The sequence below is a fragment of the Homo sapiens genome, chromosome 7 (genome assembly GCF_000001405.40).
Source record: "Homo sapiens chromosome 7, GRCh38.p14 Primary Assembly".
Taxonomy (NCBI): Eukaryota; Metazoa; Chordata; class Mammalia; order Primates; family Hominidae; genus Homo; species Homo sapiens.
This window is the reverse complement of record NC_000007.14, coordinates 122,979,365-123,003,865: the sequence shown is the minus strand read 5'-3', so window position 1 is coordinate 123,003,865 and position 24,501 is coordinate 122,979,365. Positions and strand designations below refer to the sequence as shown.

At 36.3% G+C, this 24,501-nt stretch overlaps 1 protein-coding gene across 1 annotated transcript, besides 1 other annotated feature; it reads left to right on the top strand.

Moving 5' to 3' along the window:
* TAS2R16 (taste 2 receptor member 16) lies at positions 8,166–9,162 on the top strand. The gene has a single exon (NM_016945.3). The coding sequence runs from the start codon at positions 8,232–8,234 to the stop codon at positions 9,105–9,107; it is 876 nt and encodes a 291-aa protein (NP_058641.1). The 5' UTR covers positions 8,166–8,231; the 3' UTR covers positions 9,108–9,162.
* Positions 15,949–16,454: an enhancer, noted in NCBI's record as "NANOG hESC enhancer chr7:122627466-122627971 (GRCh37/hg19 assembly coordinates)". NCBI's record gives its function as "activates a minimal SCP1, AML or CMV promoter by ChIP-STARR-seq in naive H9 embryonic stem cells {active_cell/tissue: H9 hESC(naive)}" and the evidence as "EXISTENCE:reporter gene assay evidence [ECO:0000049][PMID:30033119]".

The following is a 24,501-nucleotide window of genomic DNA, read 5'->3' as shown; positions in this document are numbered from 1 at the left end:
TCCACAGAACAGAAATATGTACTGGGAAAAATGAGCCTGCGTCACAGGCTAAAAGAAGCTTCTCATACTATATGTAGAAGCAAGAGTAGATTTAATTACCTCTAAAGCTGAATTATCTCTGGATTTATGTAACATGGGGTGGCTAAAAGAGACATACAGAGTGTAAATTTTCATAGGATCTTTAGAGGAGAAGGCTTTGTTTAGAAGCCATGGTCCTTCTTTTGCATAATGTGCAGGCTCTAACGCTCTTAGATAATTAAAGCACACAGGAGTTGGTGAATGCTTTGAAAAGATTGAAGTACAGTACAGAGCATTAAACATTTCATTTGAAGCCACAGAAAAGGTGTAGCTTTTCTAGAATAATTAAGATATGTGATTTGGCAATGATATCAGAAGATTCTGATGCATCTTCACAAAATTGGAGTGAGATTCACATTGCATGTATGAACTTAGGGATAAAATTGTATTTAAAGAGGGTCATCTTCATAGTATGGATCAACAACAACAAAAAGACATTTTCCAGAGAATTTGACACCCCTGTGTTTCTTCCAACTGCTAAAATTACAAAATTAAGAACTCACTCTTCCCTAGTGATTATTTTCAAGGTAAAATTATATGTAGCAGGGTTTTTTTATTTTCACCACCCATGCAGGGTATTTTTTTCCACAAAGGTGGCTCTAAAGCAGTGGATCTGAAACTGAGCCACCTTTTCAGGTAGAGAGAAAAAGGAACACTTATACACTGTTGGTGGGAGTATAAATTAGTTCAACCATTATGGAAGACAGTGTGGTGATTACACAAAGACCTAAAGACAGAAATACCATTCGACCCAGCAATCCTATTACTGGGCATATTCCCAAAGGAATATAAATAATTCTATCATGAAGACAGATGTACATGTGTGTTTACTGTAGCACTATTCACAATAGCAAAGACATGGAATCTAAGCTCATCAATGATAGACTGGATAAAGAAAATGTGATACATATACATCATGTAATACTATGCATCCATAAAAAAGAACAAGATTATGTCCTTTTCAGGGACATGGATGGAGCTGGAGGCCATTATCATCAGCAAACTAACACAGGAACAGAAAACCAAATACCGTATGTTCTCATTTGTACATGGGAGCTAAATCATGAGAATACATGGACACATAGAGGGGAACAACAAAATAACACACACTGGGGTCTTTCAGAGGGTGGAGGATGAGAGGATAAAGAAGATAAGGAAAAATAACTAATGGGTACTAGGTTTAATACCTGGGTGATGAAGAATAATCTGTACAACAAACCCCATGACACAAGTTTAGCTATGTAACAAACCTGCAATTGTACCCTTGAACTTAGAATAAAAGTTTAAAAAAATAAAAATTTAAAAAAAGAATCAGGTGGGGTGATTTTTAAAATTCTGATACCTAGTTATACCCCAGACAAATCAGAATATAGAGATTGGACCCATGCCTCAGTTATTGCTTTTGAAACTTTCCAGTTGACTTCAAAGTGCAACTCTGACACTTACAGGCCTTTCCAGTGAAACTCAAGTATACAATAAATAGTTCCTAAATGAGCTATCTTTTTGTATAACCTGATTTGTCTCAGTAGTCTCAGTCTCTTCTGTCTATTGTCATTTCTCTTGTGTATGAACTCATTATTTTCCTAGTTACTAAGTACAGGTGCCTATAAATTACAAGTAAAGTAACTAGAATTTGGTTATCTGGCTCTTATAGTTGCTGTGTGTATTACTTTCTTATTGCAGCTATAACAAATTACCACCAACTTAATGGCTGAAAACAATATAAATTTATTATCTTACAGTTCACATCTGCAAAGTCCCACTTGTCATATATGCTAATGTGTTCATGTATTCACAGGTTTGGGGGATTAGGATGTAAACATTTAGAGGAGCCATTATTTTGTCTACAACAGTGTAAGGAAACTAACATCTAATGGGGGCAAGACCAGAAAGAATGAATTCAGGTTGTGTTGACTTGTGACATCCATTTTACCAGTCTCATTGGTCTAAACACTGCTTGCCAATATACATTTCACAGCAGTGCAGATCATGAGAACCACTCTTATCATAATGTTACATGATTACATATGAGTTAGAAGAACTTATAATCACCATTTGTCCTATTTAGTTTTAATGTATTGTTTTCAGATGAAATGCCCCAAAACATAAATTTCTCTCTAAAAAGTAGCCAATTTGGGCACACTTATGTTTTGGCATCTTTGCCAATTCCAGGTATTTGAATGACTTAGGAATATAATCACAGATAATAACAGTGTGTATTTCTCTTCTATGTTAGGAAACTTGTTACATAATTTTCCAGGCCCTTGCACTTGTAATGCAGTAGAATACAGAGTTCTCTAGTCTGTTCTCCTTGTACTCATCACTCATTCAACAGATATTCTCTAAGTACCTACTCTGTGCTACCGTGTCCTAGCTGCTGAATCAAGAGACCTATGAACACCCATTTTATGTAGCACTTCACTTTCAAACCAAAAATTAAACCTGATTGTCAGTGCTCCCACTAAAAGCCATTGGTCTCTTATCATTGATTGACCTAAGTAAATATTTTAATTTCTATATAATATATAATTATAATTTATATATTATAATTATAATACATAATTTATAATTATATATTATAATTATAATTTCTATATAAGTAATAAAGGTAAATTTATATAGGCTAAGAATTAGTTAAATGTAAGAATGTGTGTATGCGCATGCACACACATCATGTTTTGTTTTGTTTTTCACTGATCTCAAGGGGTTTTTCTGCCCTCATATACCTAAAAGGACTATATGGACTTAAATATGGGGATAGTATCTCATCTTCTCCTGTGAAGTCATAGTTCTCTGTATTGGGCCTTATTTTCCCTAGTGCAATCATTCAGGGATGCTCTTGGGTTACCACATTAATATAGAGTCTGGGGGCTAAATATTGTATAACATTAGGAATTTAAAGATAATTGAAGAGATGAGTGGAATTTCCAACCTAGGCTTTTTTCTAAGACATTCTCCACTTCTGAATCAGTATTCCTCCCTCGGGAATCTCATGCCTACCCACGAGGAAGCAGCATTTTCAGGAAAATAGGCCGCTCATTTCACCCCCTGAAATGAGGTTCTCTGCTCCTGAAAAGAAAGTTGATATGGTGGGTCCACTGACCTTATTGCTTATGGATATGAAACTGTTTATCACTCCAGTTTATCACTAAAAATTTCTCCACCAAGTCCCTGGACTTTCTGAATCTGGGGGGATTCAGAAACAAGTAATAAGTAATAGTTATTACTTATTATAAATAAGCAATTTTATAATTACTTATAAATAAGCAATTTTATAATTATTAAAATAATAATAAGTATTTGAAGTAATAAGTATCTCTTTCTGGAGGTAAATAATAAGTATTTGAAATAATACTTATTTCAAAGTATTATTGAAATAATAAGTATTTGAAATATACAAATAAGTATTTGAAGTGATGGATATTTTAATTAGTTTTATTTGATCATCCCACAAAGTAAATATGTATTAAAACACCCCATTGTACCTCAAGATATATACAATTATTTTTAATCAATTAAAAATAAAATGGGACGTGAAAAAAATCTTAGACTAAGTTCATCTAGCTTTGTCTGAAATACCCTAAAAATCCAAACCAGTGCCTCTCTCATCCTGCAACGTTGTCTCAGCATGTCTGCTCATTTTGTCTGACTCTGGAATAGAATTCTAAGAAACATTCTGGCACGATTCAGCTTGGCTTCCACTCCTTTGCACGAGTTTGTCAGAAATCAGAAATACTTAACGTTGCACTTTCGGTCATCCAGCCTAGGATAATTTAATCCCGGATATTATTGGTTACCCTTGTAAAGAAACCAAAAATATAGCTCAATCATCACGTGAGCCTTTGAGATCCAGGTAAAGTTTGACTGAAATCCCAATTCTAGACTTGGGGCAGTCTGAGCTTTTCCAACAAGACCCACCCCTCACTTTCTCAGCTTTTCAAGACTGTACTCCTGAGTCCACAGGCATTTCTCAATCACTTCTCTCTTCAGAACCAGATTCAGAGTCCCTTCCCTATGCAACTGAAAAGTACTCATATTTGTGTTAGTCATGCTCTTTCCCATAAGTTTCTGGAGTTGAGCAGAAGAATCACATGACATAAGGTACATTTCTATTTCTTGCTGGCAAACCTTTCTCTGGCCTCTCTACTCAGTACCCAGTGCTCCCTCTGTGATGTCCTCCCTCCACCTAGTGCAGCTGGGTAAAGTGTGGTCCTGTTCCTTGCTCTGGTTGCTTCACTTCCTGGGAATAACCAGACACATTTATCTGCTTTCCGCTACATAAGTTAGAATGCTGGTGAATAAATTTCTCTTTACATTATTTTAAATTTATATTTTTATGGAACACATGATTTATGTATGAACATAGAAACACACTTACTGCCTTATCTGCATATTATAATCTATGTTTTTATTGGATCTTGGTGATCATTTTTATCATTCCTTATGTTTTACTTGTGGAACTGAGGTATACAGAAATAAGTTTATTCAATTAATTATACTGCTGTGTGAGGGGAAAATATTATCAAATAAAGCACTTTTTCTTTCTCCCTCTCAGTGTTATCCCACCTGCTCAGTACCACATGCTAGTTGTAAGTGGTTTAATCTATCAGTGTATATTCTGCTCACATAACAGGATTTCAGAGCTACTTCGGCCCAGTACTAATAAGCATTACACAAAATCAGGCCCTGTGTTAGTTTCTTTGCAATTTCCGCTGTTTTCCCCTCAGGGTCACGAAATGTCTACAACTCCTAGCACCATGCACAATACAGAATAACACCAAACACAAGATGAAGAGGAAAGAATCTCTCCTCATGAATCTCTCTGTTCTTATCAGAGAGAAACGTTTGTCACAGGAGGTCTCAGCAGGCTTCTCCTCTATTCCCAGTGACCAGAATTGATTCGTGTGCCCAAACTGAACAGGCAAAGAAAACACTAAACTAAGAGTCTGGCATTTAAAGCCTCTCCAGAAAGAGATAGGTTCTGCCTATAAGGGAAAAATGTAGCAAACTTGCTTGCAGGGAGGCAAACATCCACATGGCTTTAAGCCATCATATGATTATACCACATTTGATCTATTACTTAACTGATGGTCATGTACATAGTTTTCAGTCTTTTGGTATTACAACAATTCTGAAATAAATAGACTAGTAAATTTCTGCTTGTTTATATATGTGTAAGGATTTCTCTATAATATACAATATATACCTAGAAGTAGAATGCCTGCAGAATAAGGTCTGTACATTTTCTATTAAATATGACCAAACTGTTTTCCAATGTAACTATCTTAATTCATATTCCTTCCAGTGGTTCATAAAGACTCTGATTTTTTCATATCTTCTCTTAGAGTTGATATTCAAATTTTATTTTGTTTTTGCAATGAGAAAAATGAAAAATAACTACTCAGTATTATTTGTATTTTTCTTATTGCTAGAGAGGTTAAGCATCCTTTTATGAACTAATTGGTATTATTGTCTACCCTTTGGCGAATTGCCTGCTCTTTTATTTTCCTGTTTTTAAAGTTTTTTAATGAAACACACAAACACATACACATCAAAAAAGAGTACCATCTAGAAACACCCTTAATTTATTATATATGTGTATATATGTGTGTATTATACATTTTTATATATAAAAATGTATATGTGTATATAAATATAAAATGTTTGCTTGATAATAGCAAGCATTTATATATTATATATAACATATGTATATATATTATATATACATATATTAATATATATACATATGTTATATATAACATATGTGTATATATATAATGTTTGCTTGATAATAGCAAAGTCTAGAATTGGGCAAGTTATTCCTATCAAATTTGCAAATAAGATACAACAGTCTGCCTCCCTCAGGGGGAAGTAAATAAAGTATTAGAGGAAACTAGGAGTATGCTCAGGAATGAGAAAAAGACAAAATCTCTAACAGTGAAGATAGTAGATGCTTATAAACATAAATTGGCATTCTTTTTCCCTGTGGGACATTAGGAAAAAAACTGGTGGGCCTTCCCTCATGTCTACCTGAGAAGGGGGAAAGAGAATTGGAGAGATGACAGAGTAGAGAGGCATGGGCCTCCTGCCATTTATCATTTTTACTGAAAAGAATGCCAGAGTTTGCCATAGATCAAATGTACACTGCAGAAGGTAGCTGAGCTTCAGTCACCTTGCCAGCACCTGACCAATGAGGACTAGTTAAGGGACAACAATCCCCTGTCTGATAAGGGAAAGGGTGTGAGCTAAAGGAGAGTGGAAGAAGGCAAACCAGAATTGGGATCACTGCAATGAGGAGACCCCAGAGGTGGCCCTGAAGGTTCACATGCACACATGATGAAAGAGCCAGACTCTCAACTCCTAACCCCAGGGAACATCAATCACCAGTCTATGGACACTCTGTATGTCTCACCTTCAAACTTTCCCAAAAAGAGTATCTGGGTTATTTAATCAGCCACTATCACATAGAAAACACTCCAGTGGAGTAGAGTAGTGCCAGGCCATCTCTCATGCAGCAGGCCAGTCTATGAGGGGCTGCTTTGGACAGAAACTCATTCCTGGTCATACTATTGTGGCTGGAATCCAGTCATGAGGGGTGTAGTATGGTGGCCACACTTTCACAACCCCTCAGACAGAGATTGAGAGCATCACAGTCCTTCCAAGTTTACTCAGAATGGGGCAGTGTATATAGCTGGCAACATGCTTAGTGTATTCAGGACATAAATTAGAGGTTAATGCTATTATTGCATGTTTCACATACCAACATTTCATATCTCATCTTTCTCCCTTCTTATGTCTGGATACATCTCAACCAATTCACCTTTTAATAATATATATTGTTTTGTCATCTCAGTTTTTTATTTCCTGTTTCTTGCATTTTATTGAGAATGCAAAGCAGATGCTTTCTTACACTTAATTCTGTTTTCTGGTGTAATTTTTCAAGCTATTGCTTACCTTTGCTTCATGAGTTCAGTAGTTTCTTGTTTTGTGTTCAAGAATTCTAAGATTCATGTTTGCTTGCTTCTGTGTTGTCTTCCTTGAATGACTAAAAAGTCCATACAGACTCCGAGTTTATCATACATAAGGTCAATGACTTTCACTTTGTCTCTGTCACCAACTAGCAATTAGAATAACCTCTCATTTCTGAAGCCACTTATTACATATTTGGTGTCTATTTGGAAGAGTTGTCCTGAACTGAAGGAAAACGTATTCCTTTTATAGCCTGCTTGTATAGCTATGAAATGATGCCTGCACATTTAGAAGTAATACGCTTTACTAGTGGTAAGAGGGTCCTCTTTCAATTCTTCCTGAGCAATGGGAGCAGTGACAAAAAGAACCTAGCCATGTAAGAGAAAAAAAAAAACACACAGTGATGTTAATGGGACAAGAACAATTCCTGAAAATATATAAGGCATATGCTCAAAGCATCGGAATTGGCAGAAGAACAATAGCTAAGAGAGGCTGTGTGCAGTGTTTTCTCTGCAGTTTGATTTCTCTAAGTGGGGGAATTCAATGGGCAGTTATGAGAGTGGCCTGCATTGGATGGAAATACTTGAAGGTCTGGGGTTCAGCAATTTTGTGGAATTTCGGAGGAAAGACTTTTCATTATCATTTTTATTTACCCTCACACTTTGGTTGTAGCATCCACCACTAGCTGCCATGAGAACTGGGAAGATAGGGCTTCTGAGGTTCGCTTTGGTACTGCACTCAACAGAGCAGAAACATCATGCAGGACGTGAATGAACAGGGAAGGATTCATCTTTCTTGTTGCTCAAATTTTAGGTTAAAAGAGTGAAGATGTCATTTAAAGAAGATAAGGAAATAAGCTAAGTGCACCTCAGAAAAAGAGGAAATAAACAACATGGTTATGAAATACATATGCCTTTTTGGAATAATCAAATCACCTCAGGAGCAGGAATCCACATTTAAACATTTCCCTACATTCAGATGTGATAGCAAACCAGCAAGCAAAGCATAAACAAATTCTATAGATAGGAAAATGACAAAATCAAAAATGAGCTTGGGAAAATTTGCTTCCAGAGAGAGGGGTTTTCTTGTACCAGACAGTGGTGGAATCAGGAACCCATTCTCTACCTGGAAATTGGTACAGAGATTCAGAGTCTTTGTCCAGGAAGACACTTTGGAGTAGAAGAATGATACCCATCCAACTCACTGTCTTCTTCATGATCATCTATGTGCTTGAGTCCTTGACAATTATTGTGCAGAGCAGCCTAATTGTTGCAGTGCTGGGCAGAGAATGGCTGCAAGTCAGAAGGCTGATGCCTGTGGACATGATTCTCATCAGCCTGGGCATCTCTCGCTTCTGTCTACAGTGGGCATCAATGCTGAACAATTTTTGCTCCTATTTTAATTTGAATTATGTACTTTGCAACTTAACAATCACCTGGGAATTTTTTAATATCCTTACATTCTGGTTAAACAGCTTGCTTACCGTGTTCTACTGCATCAAGGTCTCTTCTTTCACCCATCACATCTTTCTCTGGCTGAGGTGGAGAATTTTGAGGTTGTTTCCCTGGATATTACTGGGTTCTCTGATGATTACTTGTGTAACAATCATCCCTTCAGCTATTGGGAATTACATTCAAATTCAGTTACTCACCATGGAGCATCTACCAAGAAACAGCACTGTAACTGACAAACTTGAAAATTTTCATCAGTATCAGTTCCAGGCTCATACAGTTGCATTGGTTATTCCTTTCATCCTGTTCCTGGCCTCCACCATCTTTCTCATGGCATCACTGACCAAGCAGATACAACATCATAGCACTGGTCACTGCAATCCAAGCATGAAAGCGCGCTTCACTGCCCTGAGGTCCCTTGCCGTCTTATTTATTGTGTTTACCTCTTACTTTCTAACCATACTCATCACCATTATAGGTACTCTATTTGATAAGAGATGTTGGTTATGGGTCTGGGAAGCTTTTGTCTATGCTTTCATCTTAATGCATTCCACTTCACTGATGCTGAGCAGCCCTACGTTGAAAAGGATTCTAAAGGGAAAGTGCTAGGCCTAGAGGTTGCCTGAGGCACAGGATAAAAGACTCCCGAGCAATTGATATAATTAATACCAGAAGAGAGTATTGCTCTTATCAATCAATTCATTGTGAATCACCATAATGCAACCCTCATTCCCTTCCATCTTCGCAGCCATGTATTTGTAAATAATCAACCCTTTCTCTATCCTTTTCCACTGGTTTCCTTTCCCTTTCACAATCCTCAGGTTGGTTCCAACTTGCTCAAGACTGCCCCATCTCTCCTTAGTCCTTGCCAACTCTGGAATTGTACACCTGGTATATTCTACACAAGACAGTCAAAATCATGGTGTCCACACATTACTTTAACCTTCCCATGACTGCCAGTTACTTCACACATGAATATGAATACCATCCCACAGAAACATATTGCTTGTACCCTGAATGATTCCCATACTAAGCCTTCAATTCACTTTTTTAGTCAAGGAGTCTCTCTCTCTCTCTCTCTCCCTCACTCTCTCTCTCCCCCTCTCCATCTCTCTCTCTTTCTCTATCCCCTGGCTGTTTCTGGACTTTTATCTGATGACACAAATGTTCTTATTTGCTTCTCTTCCAAATGCCATGTCTTTATCTCTTTAAAACTCAAGTCAAAATTTAACTCTTTCTTCATTTCCATTAGCCAAAACATTATACTCTTCCCCAGAATAGCAGACACTTTACCCAATCCAGATTCATCCTTAATAATTCCCCAAATATTGACAATTTAATTGTGTCAACTATACAACTATAAATGGTTTCCATTGGCTCAATTCTTGCCTCTCTATTGTATTATAACTTGTATTGTATTATTAACTTGATGGAACATCTCCATGTTGAGACATAGTTGTTTTATTTCCCATATACAACCCAGATATCAGTTAAGAACCACTCTTAGCTCATAACATTTGAGTGGCGTTGGCTTACACTTTCTACACTTTTTTATTCTGTCCAAAGCCCTCCCAAAATGAATAAGAATATAGAAATCACACAGTAATCAGTGAAAAATCACGTATAAAACATACTCATTCTTTAGACGTTCTTTCTGCCTCCCTGTCTGACACGTTTCTCTCATACCTTCTTCCCTTGCAGGACCCCATGCCCTTATCTCCAAGGCATCTCACTCCTCATTTATCTCCTCTTCACCCTCAACTACCAGCAGCTATGTGTCTTGGTAATGTCCAACCACTATGCCTTTGGGTCTCAGCCTCTGTCCACCCCAGATACTTATTAAGGTATTCTTCTTAAAGCCAGTTGCATCTCTTACACCATTCTGGTACCAAGCGTAAATAATGTGATGTTTTCTACCCTTTGTATATATTGGGCATGTCTGGTGAACTGATCTTCTAGCTCTGCCGTTAGAAGATTGAAACACCTCCTGAAAGCAAATCATCCTATGGGGCAAAGGATGCAAGTATCTCAAGCTTGACTGTGAAAGAATGGCTTAGTCCTGGAAAGGAATGGAAATTCTGATCTGCTTGTGGGCTTATCACTCTGATTTGTCTCTGAGTCAAATTCATATTTGAAACTGAAGGTGTGAAACATAAGTAAAAACTGAAAGACCACTTTTACCAAAGACTCTGTGCCATTTGGCATATCTCAGCAGCATTCCTACTGTTGCACACAGAGGGGAGTGAAGCATGCTGTCCCACTCCACAGAAGCACCCTGTCAGCCTTGCATCTCCCTAGGTCCAATGGTTTCACTGCAGTAGAAGGTGGGACAAAACCTGGTGGATGCAGTAATGACTGGGGAGCAGAGTCCTAACCATGGGTCTGAGAAGAAAAAAGGAAAAAAAAAAAGGTAGATATTGGCATTGAGTTGACTCCCAGGAATGCTTAGGAGGCTGGAGGGGAGGTGCCTTATAGGGTTTGGGATCCTGCTGGAATAGATTGAACAAGAGCCAGTGAAATTAGGATTCTACTGCTATTTGTCATTTGCATCCACATCCAGATGAGGTCTTGCATGTTCAAAAACCTCAGATAGCTGAAATAAATAGAAACCGTTCTTCTCATATGTGTATAAATAGAGAACGGGAAAAAAAGAACACCCCCTCTCCCCACAATCACACACACAGATGCTATTCCAGAAGCTGTTAAATATTTTTAGTACTCTCACTGTCTCTTTTGAGTAAAGTGCAATGGAAAACTTATCCAGGCTATGCATAAGGTAGGAGTGTTAGAAGCAGTTGAGGGGATCCAGAAATCAGAAAAAAATAAAATACAAACAGAAATAATAACTAACTTTTATATTAATGGCACCTAATTGTTCGCAAAAAGATTTTACTTACATTTTCTTATTTTGGACTAAAAGACAAATCAAGGTCACCTAATCCAAACTAGCTGGAAAATAAACCTAAGAAGGTCAAGTGATTTACTTAAATTAATGCCAAATCTGAAGTCAATGGAAGAGGAGAGGGAACCGAGAGATAAATTTTAAATGAGAAAAAATTTAATTTGGAAAAAGATATGATTTAAAAAGCAGATGCTGGCCAGGCACAGTGGCTCACGCCTGTAATCCCAGCACTTCAGGAGGCCCAGGGGGGTAGATCACCTGAGGTCAGGAGTTTGAGAGCAGCCTGACCAACACGGTGAAACCCCATCTCTACTAAAAATACAAAAAAAAAAAAAAAAATTAGCCAGGCATGGTGGCAGGCACCTGTAATCTCAGCTACTTGGGAGGCTGAGATAGGAGAATTGCTTGAACCTGGGAGGTGGAGGTCGCAGTGAGCCAACATCGTGCCATTGCCCTCCAGCCTGGGCAACAAGAGAGAAATTCTATCTCAAAAATAAATAAATAAAAAGATGTTTTGAAAAGAATAACAGAACGATTGTGACCAAAAGCTAGGACATTTTTTGACAGCTTCCTTTAGCTAGATATGAAATTAAGATACCAAGGAGCTAATGCACCTGTGTTGTCCAATTTGTAAATACTTTATCCTATATAATGCTTTTTATTAAAAGTATAGTGTGTTGCCTGATAACTTTCTCTCTCTCTCTCTCACACACACACACACACACACACACACACACACAATACAGAAGAAGGGAGAGGACGTGATAGGGGAGTGAAAGAATTTACCCCACTTTCTTCCCTGCTGTTCTCCAGCCTCTACACCACGCCTAAGATAGGAGAAGAGAAGAAGCCGTTAATTGGATATGAGATTAGTGTTTGATTTAGAATCTTTAAAGTCTAAACATGAGAAAATTCTTAGAAAGCTATGGAATCTATAATGCCATCAAGAATTGGGAAAGGGTCATTCTAGGAATATTTTTGAACACAGAAGCCAGAGAAAACTTTGTTTCTTTGGAGCACAACCTATTCAATAACTTTGTTACAGGAGACAAAAAAATCAGTAAGATGTGAAATGCCTCTACATTTTCTCTGAGATTGCTTGTCAGGTATCGTGCATTGCATTCCACTTATTAAACAGACAAATTTCTTTTCTCAGAAAGAGCTAAACCAGATGAGATCGGGTGCATTCAGGGTGGTGTGGCCAGGTGGCAGTGGCTCAAGCCTGTAATCTCAGCACTTTGGGAGGCCAAGGATGGCACATCACATGAAGTCAGGAGTTCCAGGCCAGCTTGGCTAACATGGTGAAACCCTGTCTCTGCTAAAAATACAAAAGTTAGCTAGGCATGATGGTGGCGCCTGTAATCCCAGCTACACGGGAGGCTGAGGCGGGAGAATCACATGAACCTGGGAGGCAGAGGTTGCATTGAGCTGAGACTGTGGCACTGCATTCCAGTCTGGTAAACAGAGCAAGACTGTCTCAAAAGAAAGCAAGGAAGGAAGGAAGGAAGGAAGGAAGGAAGGAAGGAAGGAAGGAAGGAAGGAAAGAAGGAGGGAGGGAAGGAGGGAGGGAGGGAGGGGGAGGGGAGAGGAGGGAGGAAGGGAGGGAGGCAGGGAGGGAAGGAGGGAGGGAGGGAGGGTTAAGCCAAAGGCCAAGGAATTTAGACAGAGCAACATTAAATTTGGGGATTTATCACAATACCTTTCCATACCTAAGAAATTTTAACATAAAGTTCCACTCTCTTTCCATTCTGGCATTTGAGTTTATATTTTGTTAATGATATTGGTTCTTATTGTTCTTGTATTTCTATTGTAAATTATGGCAAATTCTTTTCATACTTGATCTTGCTGCTTTAAAAAGGAGGTGAAGAAAGAGCAAAATAAAAGAAAGACTACCAAGGATAATGATATGAGTTGCACTGCAGCAATAAAAGAATAATGGCATAACTAAATGATAAAACTAATTTTTTAAATTACCCAGATTCACTTTTGTTCCAGAAATGCATATTAAAGGACAGAATTTTGGAAACACTTATAAAGTCTAGAGGAGCATGTGCTTACAGTTGGTATAATTCAACGATTTCTGTGTCTATTAATAATGCCAAAATTCTTCCTAATAGAAGGAAAAAATGCAGCTTCTTTGGCCTTTCTACACAGAGATTTTAATACAATCCCTGAGACTTATTTACAATCCATTAGCCATGTCTCAAACTCCCAAAGTAACATTTATTTGAGACCATTTTTTCTATTTTTAATAAAACTTACAAAACTGATGCTAAGTGTAAACTGGCTTTTTGCTAGTTTTTATAGCAAAGATACAGTAGGATAAACTCAATTGCCAATTTCCTTCAAATCATTTATGGGATAAAATTTATAAAAAGTGACAGGCTACACTGGTTGAATAAAAGATAAATTTCTTATCATAAATTTTTTTCTTCAAATTTTAATCTAAATGCTGGATTTCCAAAAAATGAACTTTTATTTTTAAAATATGCTACATGAAAGTAATTCAAACACAGCCAAAGTGCAGTCAAAATGACTGAGAATAATCATTCGCATTTGCAGGGGAAAGTAGATCTTAAAATTTAAGTTTAAAATTAGAGGCAAGATAAATTTCACAAGCTTCATTCTTATAGCCTAAAGATAGAATGTGTAGGTAGATATTTCTTGAGAATCTTGGCAGATCAGTGTTGTCAGTACTTGAGGGATTGAATCAGGCTCACTCCAAGAACTTGGAAATCAGATTGTCTTTTGATGGGTAAATCAAGAAATCAACTTCCCTTCCTACTTCTGGCCTAAATGTATCAATCTAAGAATTAACCAGAAAATGGGTGGCTAGGAGGTTTTCCAGTCAAACCTCAGGATTTAGGTTAAAGCGCAGTCCAGATTGGAGTAAATTACCTTGAAAGAGAAGTAAAACAGGTCTCAAAATAAACTTTAACAAGCAGATGAAAAGGTTATAAGTTTGAACTCCATTGTGTTCATCCAGACCTGCCCAGGGTAGGAGGATGCTGGGTTAACCAATTTGAAGCTTTCTAGTCCTAGTGACAAGTCCTTCAAGCTGTTATCTGAGGAATTTATCACGAGGTCATATAAATTCCTTCATCTCTTACACCGTATGCCCTCGCCCACTCATTTGATTGTGATTTGGCATTTAACGTTGTGATTGTGTGTCCAGGTAAATGGAAGATGCAAAACACACGTGCATATGTGAGGATGGCACATGACTTTCAGGGCCCAATTCAGGATGTTAGGGCTGGTGGCTGATCCCCACACAGACTGCTTTGCCACCTTTGTCCCCATGCTGAGAGCATCCTGTGAAAGACAGAAGGTTCACACTGCAAAGCTGCACTCACTCTGTGGCTCCTGTTATATTTTTGATCCTTGTATACATTGATATATTGGTGCCCGTGAGATTCATTTTTGCCGTCTTCACACTCAGTCCCAGTTTTCTTGACCTAGGCTTAATGATCATGTAAGTTGAATTGAGGCAGAAATTTCCCTGACATCTTGACCATTTAATTCATGTTTGTGCCCACTTCAGTCTCATTTTTTTCAGCTTCAGTTTCAGGTATATGCATTTGTTTCTAAACCTGACCATCCTGGAGAACTAATAATAATGGGTTTCTAGGCCCATAAAGCAAAGGAGCAGACCTAGCATGTGGTAGCATCATTTTGGTACTCATTAATATATTACTTTGAGAATAATTCTGCTGGCATTTAGGATTATTATTCTCACTGCCAAGGTCGCTGTTCTCAGTTGTAGGCAATGAAATATGGTCTAGATGGTCTGAGTATGGAGAATCTACTACACATTTTTAGGCAGCATATACAGTTTCAGGGAGTACTAGGAAAATGGCAGAAGCGGGCAATGAGAAGAAATATCCAACCATACCACCGTCTGCCAGCAGCACCATCTGCCACTTGGCTTCCATAACATTAGGGAACAGGCTGCAGAATTTGCATCATAGCTGTCCCAGGGGCATCAAATACCTCTGACCCAGGATCACACCTCACATGTGCAGCCACTACCCTACATTGCTTACTTCCTCTGTGACTCCAATGGGTGCCTCTGCTTGGCTGAACCTTAGTCACATATAGAACCTTAGCTGCTCTGTGTGTCTGAAGACCGTCATGTTATCTTTCCAGCTTCCACTGAAGGCTCACAAGATTGGGGCAACAAGGGGGCAAAGGGAGACAAAGAGCAATCTCTCCACAACTTTCTTATGCAAATACTTACAATCTGTAAATTATAGGCACTGGTATACATCCCACATCTATCACCATTGTTCACTAACTTAAAAATTAGGTATCATAAACATGTTTTTATACCTAAAATGCATATGAAAATAAATCATAAACATTCTCAAGCAATTAATACTGGGGAAAAAATCTAAAAGAAACAAGGATAACTAAATATGGCTACCTTGGCATTTACTAAAATTAAGGGTCCTGAAATCTAATAATTTCAGGACTGGTAACATAAATGCAGAAAGGACCTGTAAGAAATTGGTGAGCTTGACCGTACATGCTGCACAACAACCTGTGTCACCCATGCTGTTTGCAGTCTATTTCAATGGAAAAATAAAACCCAAAAATTAATGGTAAGGAACAGAAAAGGAGATTATTAGCTGTAGAATATGGTCTTCACTTCTCTCCCTAACCCACTTTACCAAGTCAACGCACTTATTTTCCAGCTGTTGTCAGTGCTGACTCCTAACAGCTCCCAGGCACCCCTTCTTTTGAGAGAACTCTTAACAAGAACAGGCTCACTTGGGAGATTATTCCCAGCCCACAATACTGCACCCTGCAGCTAGCTAATGGTTGGATGATATGGAGGTATAATAGGCCAGCCCCCTTGAACCAGACTAAATCTATGGTGCAATTCATGCTCAGAATACCCCTTGGGCTCAGTTCAAAACTGGTCTCCAGCTGAGGCCACATCCTTGCGTAGCTTTTTTCCCCTTGTTTTACCCAGCTTACCTCATTCATTTTCTCCTGATAACATTCCCTCCATACATACCTTAAATAGGAATCTGCTTGGGTTTGTTTCCAAAGAACATAAATTAAGAAACTAGCTAATCTCAACATTGTTTAGTAGAAAACAAATAGAAAATAGCAAGAAAAAAAAATTATGTAGGTACTCCCCTGTCAAGGAAGGGGAGCTTAACTCACCACACCTTCACTGTGGCTGTACTTAGCAACTCTATTCTGAAGTGCAGAATATAAAAAGGGAGAAGAAAACTACAGTGGAGAGCCTTGGCAAATATTACCTAGGCCAGGTGATCAAAGTTAACCTTATCAGTAATATGACATGCTGATGGAATGTACCATTGGTACAATGTAATGAGGATGACACTTTGCTTCTGTTGTCTTCTCCCTAAAAACCCAGACTAACCATGAAAAAAAAACATCAGACAAACCCACATCGAAGGACATTCTACAAAATATCCGACCAGTACTCTTCAAAACTGTCCAGTTTATTGGAAAGCCTAAAAACCTGTCACAAACCAGAGGAGGCTAAAGGAAGCATACTGACCTAATGCAATGTGATAACTTGGGAAGCTTCCTGGAAGAGAAAAAGGATATTGAGGAAACACTAGTAAAATATGAATACATTTTATAGATTAGATAATAGTAATATACCAATGTTGGAGCCTTCATTGTGACAAATGTACTATATATACTCTCTCTCTCTCTCTCTATATATATATATACACACACACATATATAGTACATATATATACACACACACATATAGTACATATATATGTATCCTAATTAACAGTAAGAGAACCAGGTGTTAGTGCTCTTTGTATTATCTTTGCAACTCTACTTTAAATCCAGAATCTACAATGAACTCAAACAAATTCACAGGAAAAAAACAAACAACCCCATCAAAAAGTGGGCAAAGGATATGAACAGACACTTCTCAAAAGAAGACGTTTATGGAGCCAAAAGACACATGAAAAAATGCTCATCATCACTGGCCATCAGAGAAATGCAAATCAAAACCACAATGAGATACCATCTCACACCAGTTAGAATGGCAATCATTAAAAAGTCAGGAAACAACAGGTGCTGGAGAGGATGTGGAGAAATAGGAACACTTTTACACTGTTGGTGGGACTGTAAACTGGTTCAACCATTGTGGAAGTCAGTGTGGAGATTCCTCAGGGATCTAGAACTAGAAATACCATTTGACCCAGCCATCCCATTTCTGGGTATATACCCAAAGGACTATAAATCATGCTGCTATAAAGACACATGCACACGTATGCTTATTGCGGCACTATTCACAATAGCAAAGACTTGGAACCAACCCAAATGTCCAACAATGATGGACTGGATTAAGAAAATGTGGCACATATACACCATGGAATACTATGCAGCCATAAAAAATGATGAGTTCATGTCCTTTGTAGGGACATGGATGAAACTGGAAATCATCATTCTCAGTAAACTATCGCAAGGACAAAAAACCAAACACCACATGTTCTCGCTCATAGGTGGGAATTGAACAATGAGAACACATGGACACAGGAAGGGGAACATCACACTCTGGGGACTGTTGTGGGGTGGGGGGAGGGGGGAGGGATAGCATTAGGAGATATACCTAATGCTAAATGACGAGTCAATGGGTGCAGCACACCAACATGGCACATGTATACATATGTAACTAACCTGCACATTGTGCACATGCACCCTAAAACTTACAGTATAATAATAATAAAAAAAGAAAAAAAATCCAGAACTATTCTAAAATGTAAAGCTTATTTCATAAAAAAATTAAATTCCCTAATGTTTCAAACATGGACATTTTTAAATTTTTTGTCTCTATATATACTCTCTCTCTCTTTATATATATATATACACACACACATATAGTGCATATAAACACATACATATATAGTACACATATATATATATCCTAATTAACAGTAAGAGAACCAGATGTTAGTACTCTTTGTATTATCTTTGCAACTCTACTTTAAATCCAAAACTATTCTAAAATGTAAAGCTTATTTTATAAAAAAATTAAATTCCCTAATATTTCAAACGTGGACTTTTTTTTAATCTCTTGAGAGTAAGATTATTTTTCTTACTTCTGTGTCACACAATTTTTGGTTCAATGCCAAACATCTTGTGTAGACTAGTAGAGGCTAAAATAAATGACATTTGTGGCCAGAGATCAGCAAGCCGTTTCTCTGTCAGGGTGTATGTATGGTGGCTGATACTTCTTCCCCTCCTGCTCTGCCATAGGTGATGAGCTCTACTCATCTCTTCCTCTCTTGAAGGAGGTTGGTCCTCCATGGATTTCAGACTGCTCAGTGCCCTGTGTCCTCAGGTACCTGATGAGTTCCAGAAAAGTTACACTTTTTGTCATTTATTCATCTCTCTCTTATTTAGAGATGAGAGCAAATTCTTTTTAGCTTTCTACATTCTAAGAGCAAGCAGAATGCCAGAGATGTTTTTCTCCTTAATTTGGTATACACAACCATCATGTAGGAGGAAGGAAAATAATTACAATAACATATTTTAAAACAAGATATTTTAAATGTTTGAAAGCTCACAGAATCTTAATGTTGGAAGAAATATTAGAAGACATCTATTTTAGTGTTAAAATATTCAAATCATATCCTCTTTTGTTAAAATTAAATTTTACTCTTCATCTTCCCTTCAGGAGAAGACCGCTTCTAGTTAAAAATATCTTCTGCATATCTGCACTAATCAAAAAAATATTTGTTTTACGTTACCTTCAGCTGAAATCATGAAAAGCATAGAAATAATTGTTTCATTTTACAAATAAAAAATTATAATATTGAGAATGTTTTCAAACTATACACTCCTTTCCTGATTCTGGTTAAAAACACCATATGGAATCTTCTTCCTCCTCAGTTTGAAAATATTTCACCTATTCCAAACACCCACCAACCAGGTTTTTTTGGTCTATATATGTACCTATAGAGAGAAGTTTATTATACATCAAATTCTTTATATAGACATTGCATATAAATATAGTAATCACAAGGATGAGGACATATAAAATAGGCAGAATGGGGGAGGTTAGATTTAACCTTTTTTGCAAGGGGAAGGTTAAAAGATGGATGGTATAAAACAGAGCTAGGCCCCCTCTAAGAACTCAGTGCATCTGAGCCAAATGTTGCAAACACCAAACAACCCAAGTACTGAGGTGATGGCACAGATTCAAATCAAACATCTGTATGCTCTTGCCAGAGGCAAAAAGCTACATGAAGGAGAAATAAGGAGCATCTACAACAAGATGCGTGACGAACACAGCCCACCTTGTTTTTCTGTAATTCTCAAAGGTCAGAGAAAAAAGCCTGCAATGATTACCATTGACTAGTAACATCTAAACTTCTAATAGTGTTTTCTAAACTTTCCTTATCATAAGAGTCATCTGACTTTTTATTAAAAATACAGATTCTTGGAATCCATTCCAGATTAACAAATCAGACTCTGGGAGAATTGCCTCAGAATGTGCATTCTTAAGCAAAGCCCAAGGTATTCCTTTAATCAAAATCTTTTGAGAAAAATTCTTAGAACACAGTCTCTTCACAATTTCTTGTCCTGAACAGCATTTTCTTATTAGTAGCTAATCATTTCTGATGATCAAGGCATGATAATACTGGTGCTTAACACTAAAATATTAAATACTAGGAACTGCTTGTGTGCTTGTTAAACTGTAATTTCCTTTCTGGAGGTGTGAGCAGAAGAAACTCAATATTGAATTCACCTTATGGTAAGTAAATTTTAGTGAAAAGCTGATAGCAAACTAAACAATTTTTCTATTTATTTTTTCTAGAACAATTTTCTAAAGAAAATTATTCAAGGACAAGAGATAAGCCTTAAAAACAAATTATTCTAGTGCATGTTAAATTATGTAAGCAGGAACAAATCAAAATTTATTCATGAACACATGACTGACAAATAGTGAAATCATTGTTCCAAACCTCTTGAGAGTATGTCTCAAACTGAATCTAGTTTGAGAGCCTCTTTGTGACATTTACAGGGCTATACTTCAATGGAAATATATTTGTTTTAGATGAAAGGGAGAGGGTCTAATGAGGAGAACTTTGCCTTTTGTAGGAAAGACAAAAAGGTACTGTTGTGGTTTTAATTTAGGAAAAAGGGATGAAAATACTACATAGAGCTCTTCGAACTTTCCTACAAACTACCTCTTAAGCTTTCATTCTTGACTATTTGGCAGTGTTAATCAATGTTTTGTTCAAGATTATCTGATTACATGAAGTGTTTAAAATGTGAAATGCTAGGCCTCCATGTGCTTACCGAGATTAGTATTTCAAAAAAATATTTCCTGGGTTTCAAAAAAAAAATTCCAGAAGGCTAAACTTTTAGAAAGGATACAGAGTGATTTAGATAAAGTTGGAAAATAAGTGCCAAAAGGACAGGCCACCAAACTTTTTCTGGAAAAGGCCAAATAGTAAGTATTTCAGCCTTTTGGGGTCATACAGCCTCACTCACAACTACTGAAATCTACTGCTATAACACAAAGCAGCCATAGACAATACATAAGCTAACAAAACTGATTCTATTCTAGTAAAACTTTATTTATTAAAACAAGCAACCAGCTAGATCTGGTGCCATAGTTTTCCAGCCCCTTTCCTAAAGGATGAATCTTTGCTCTTTCTCAAACCAAAATCTGATGAAAGGAAAAGCGAGAAGAGAGATGGGTTAGGGTTGTTGAAGGAATGGGGGAAATGGAACCATTATAATCCCCTCCTCTTTCTTTCTTAATCACTTAAAATGTGTTCTAACTCTGGTATAGCTATCCCATGGAAGAGGTCTTCCTTATGGATATAATCAGCTGTCATTTAAGCCTCTTTATAATGAAAAAAGAGTCACTCAGCATTCTCTACCAATCTGTTTCCTGTCTTCCCAAGCAGCAGATAATACGAGAAGGAGACAAAGAAATCAAATATCAACTACCCTCCCCCACAACAAAAGTCTATACAGGTAAATAATGATCAAAAGAATAATACAATTACAGTTAGTTTTATGTTTATTTTCTTGTATGAAATAAAAAACAATTTCAAATTTCTGTTTTTAGGAAGACAGGGTAAAAATTACTACTTCTTTTCTCTCTATTAAGATATGCCAAAACATCAGAGAGAATAAGAAGCTGAAATTGAACCTTCATATTTGATAAAAATTGGGATTAAATTAAAAATTTTAAAACTTTAAAATTAATCTATCTAGCTATCTAGCTATCCATCTATCTATATTTAAGGAAAGGTTAAAAATCACAATAAAAATCCAACCAAGGTAAGTTTAGATATTGAGACACCACATGTATCTCAGCAAAAGCTCACAGAATTGAGTGCAGTATCCTATGAAATAAATACTTAGGATGACAAAGGCAACAAAATTGGAGTATATGGACTACTTATAGAAGCCTCCCTGGTAAATATCTCTATATATCTCATCTTTTTTCATTTAATAAAAAGACTAAACAAGCTCATCTATGCAGAGAGTCACGAAATCTATAACATGAAATCCAGTTTATGAGCTAGATAAAACATATGCCAGCTCAGAGCACTAAACTTGCTCCTCTCACACACAAATCTCCTATAAATAGTTCATCCAGGTAGAACTCACAGTATTCAGTATGAAAAACAAATCAATAGAAACCAATATCTAACATATGCAAAACACACAAAAACAAAGGAAAAAACAAGAATGCAGATGAGGATTACACTATTGCAAATGTCTCAATGCAGATTAAAGTTATGATAAAACATATTTCAAAAAACTCAAAGAAACCCATGAAAATATCCTTTCTATAAAACAAAAACTCAATAAGAGATATGAAACAATTGAGAAAGAAATAAGAAAAAATAAACTTGTGAAGTGAACAAGGACAATAAAATCATTACACCTAAAAGGAAAAATAAAAGAAACTGCTGAATACAAACTAAGGAATATGGCAAACAGAGTTGAGATAAGAAAGCAAAATGAAATTCAAAAGAGCGAAGAGTTTAAGTTACGATGGCCATTACTTTTGGAAAAGTAGGAGGATTTGGAATGTTGAGTAATGTTTTATTTTTTGAAGAATACAAAAGATAGTAGTTAAACAGATATGTCCACTCTCATTACTCATTGAATATGCATTTATAATTTGTTTACTTTTATATATGTTATTTCTTCTCTTTTTTAACTCAATTTTTCTTGAAGTATAGCTATACTTCAAGAAAAATTGAGTTAAAAAAGAGAAGAAATAACATCATAAATATGGAAGGAGATCCGATATATGCATTATTGGTACTTCCTGAAGAAGAGAAAAATTGCCACTGGAAAAAATTTAAAAATATGATTTAAGAAAATTGTTCTGAAACTAGAGAGATCTGAAACTACAGAATGAAAAACTCCAATTTTGAGGAAAATGAACACAAAATTTTCAACAATGAGGCATATTCCAGTGAAATTAATAAATTTTGGCCTGGCACGGTGGCTCACACCTGTAATCCCAACAGTTTGGGTGTCCAAGGCAGGTGGATCACATGAGGCCAGGAGTTCAAGACCTGCCTGGGCAACATGGCAAAATCCGCTTTCTACTAAAAATACAAAAATTAGCCAGGCGTGGTGGTGCACACCTATAATCCCAGTATTCAGGTGTCTGAGGCAGGAGAATCACTTGATCCCGGGAGGTGGAGGTCGCAGTGAGCCAGGATCACACCACTGCATACCAGCCTGTGTGACAGAGATCTTGCCTCAAAAAATATATATATATAATAATAATAATACATTTCATGTAAAAATAAAATAATAAGCAGAGAGCATTGAATCCCCAAAATATTAGTTGAAAAATAAAACAACCCTGAGAAAAGTGGTTAACCAATTACATTTATGTTTTAAACTACACTGATATAGAAACAATAATATAACTAACACATTTCTGTAGTTAATGGTGAAGTAAGGTTTTAGGTATTACATGAGTTAGTTACAATGGTAAACATTAACTATGTACATGTAATAAGCTTTTCAAATTGTCACAATATAAATGCATTTTAAAAAGTCAAGCAAACATAGGTCATATATCAAAAGATAAAAAACAAAAGACCTATTAAAATATAAAGTTTGACCAAAATATATCAGAAATAAAGTCAAATGTATGTTAAATCAATAAATTTAAATAATCATCTACTAAAAGAAAAAGTTTATCAGATTTGACTATAAAGCAAAACATAATTATATGCTAAAATCAAGAGAAACACTTAAAATTAAGTGACTCATAAAGTTAAAGTGAAAAGAAGGGTAAAGTATGTTTGTAGTAAAATTCTGTAATTTGCTTTTCCAATTTAACAATAAATTAAATAGATGAAAAACTTAGTAAAAATTAATAACATAAAACAGATCTGATGGCTTTATGTCTAAGTCTACACCAAGAAAACAGAAACAAAACCTTCTTTTCAAGTTTCCATGGATCATTCACAAAAAGTGATCACATATTAAGCAGCTAAAAAAGCTTCCGCAAATTTCAAAAAGACATAGCACAAACGGGATTCTCTTTTCTAGTATGGTAATGCTAGAAATTAATATTAAAAGCATAAAGAGCCCTATGAGATTGTGAAATTTTACTAATCTTTTCAATAATTTTTGTACAAAAGGAAAAGCAAACTGAAATTCTACAATAGAGAAAATAGTAACAATAAAGTACTAAACATCAAAAATTAGGATATGCCTAAAGTGCACAAACATAACCATAAATATAAACACTTAAATTAATAAGAAAAAATCAGTATATAATTAAGTATCCAACTCATTAACTTGAAGAGATTAACTACTAAGGAAATTATAAGGGAAAGATAAAAATAGAGTGAAAATAATGAATTTAATAAAATGTTTTCAATTGACAAAAATAAAGAGCTATTTACTTCAAAAATAGAATACAAACATCATGAAGTAACTGAATCAAAATAAAAGGGAGAAAGTACGCATAAGTTTTATATAACTATGAGTAATCTTTAAAATGCTACTGAAGAACACAAAAGAAGACTTAAATGAAGGCAAGAGCATTTTAAAATCTTGGACAAAATGACTCATAGATATGTGAATTCTCAA

What these genes read in the sequence shown, in the direction of transcription:
- TAS2R16 (NM_016945.3), top strand. Translation starts at nt 8,232, where the DNA reads ATGATACCCATCCAACTCACTGTCTTCTTCATGATCATCTATGTGCTT.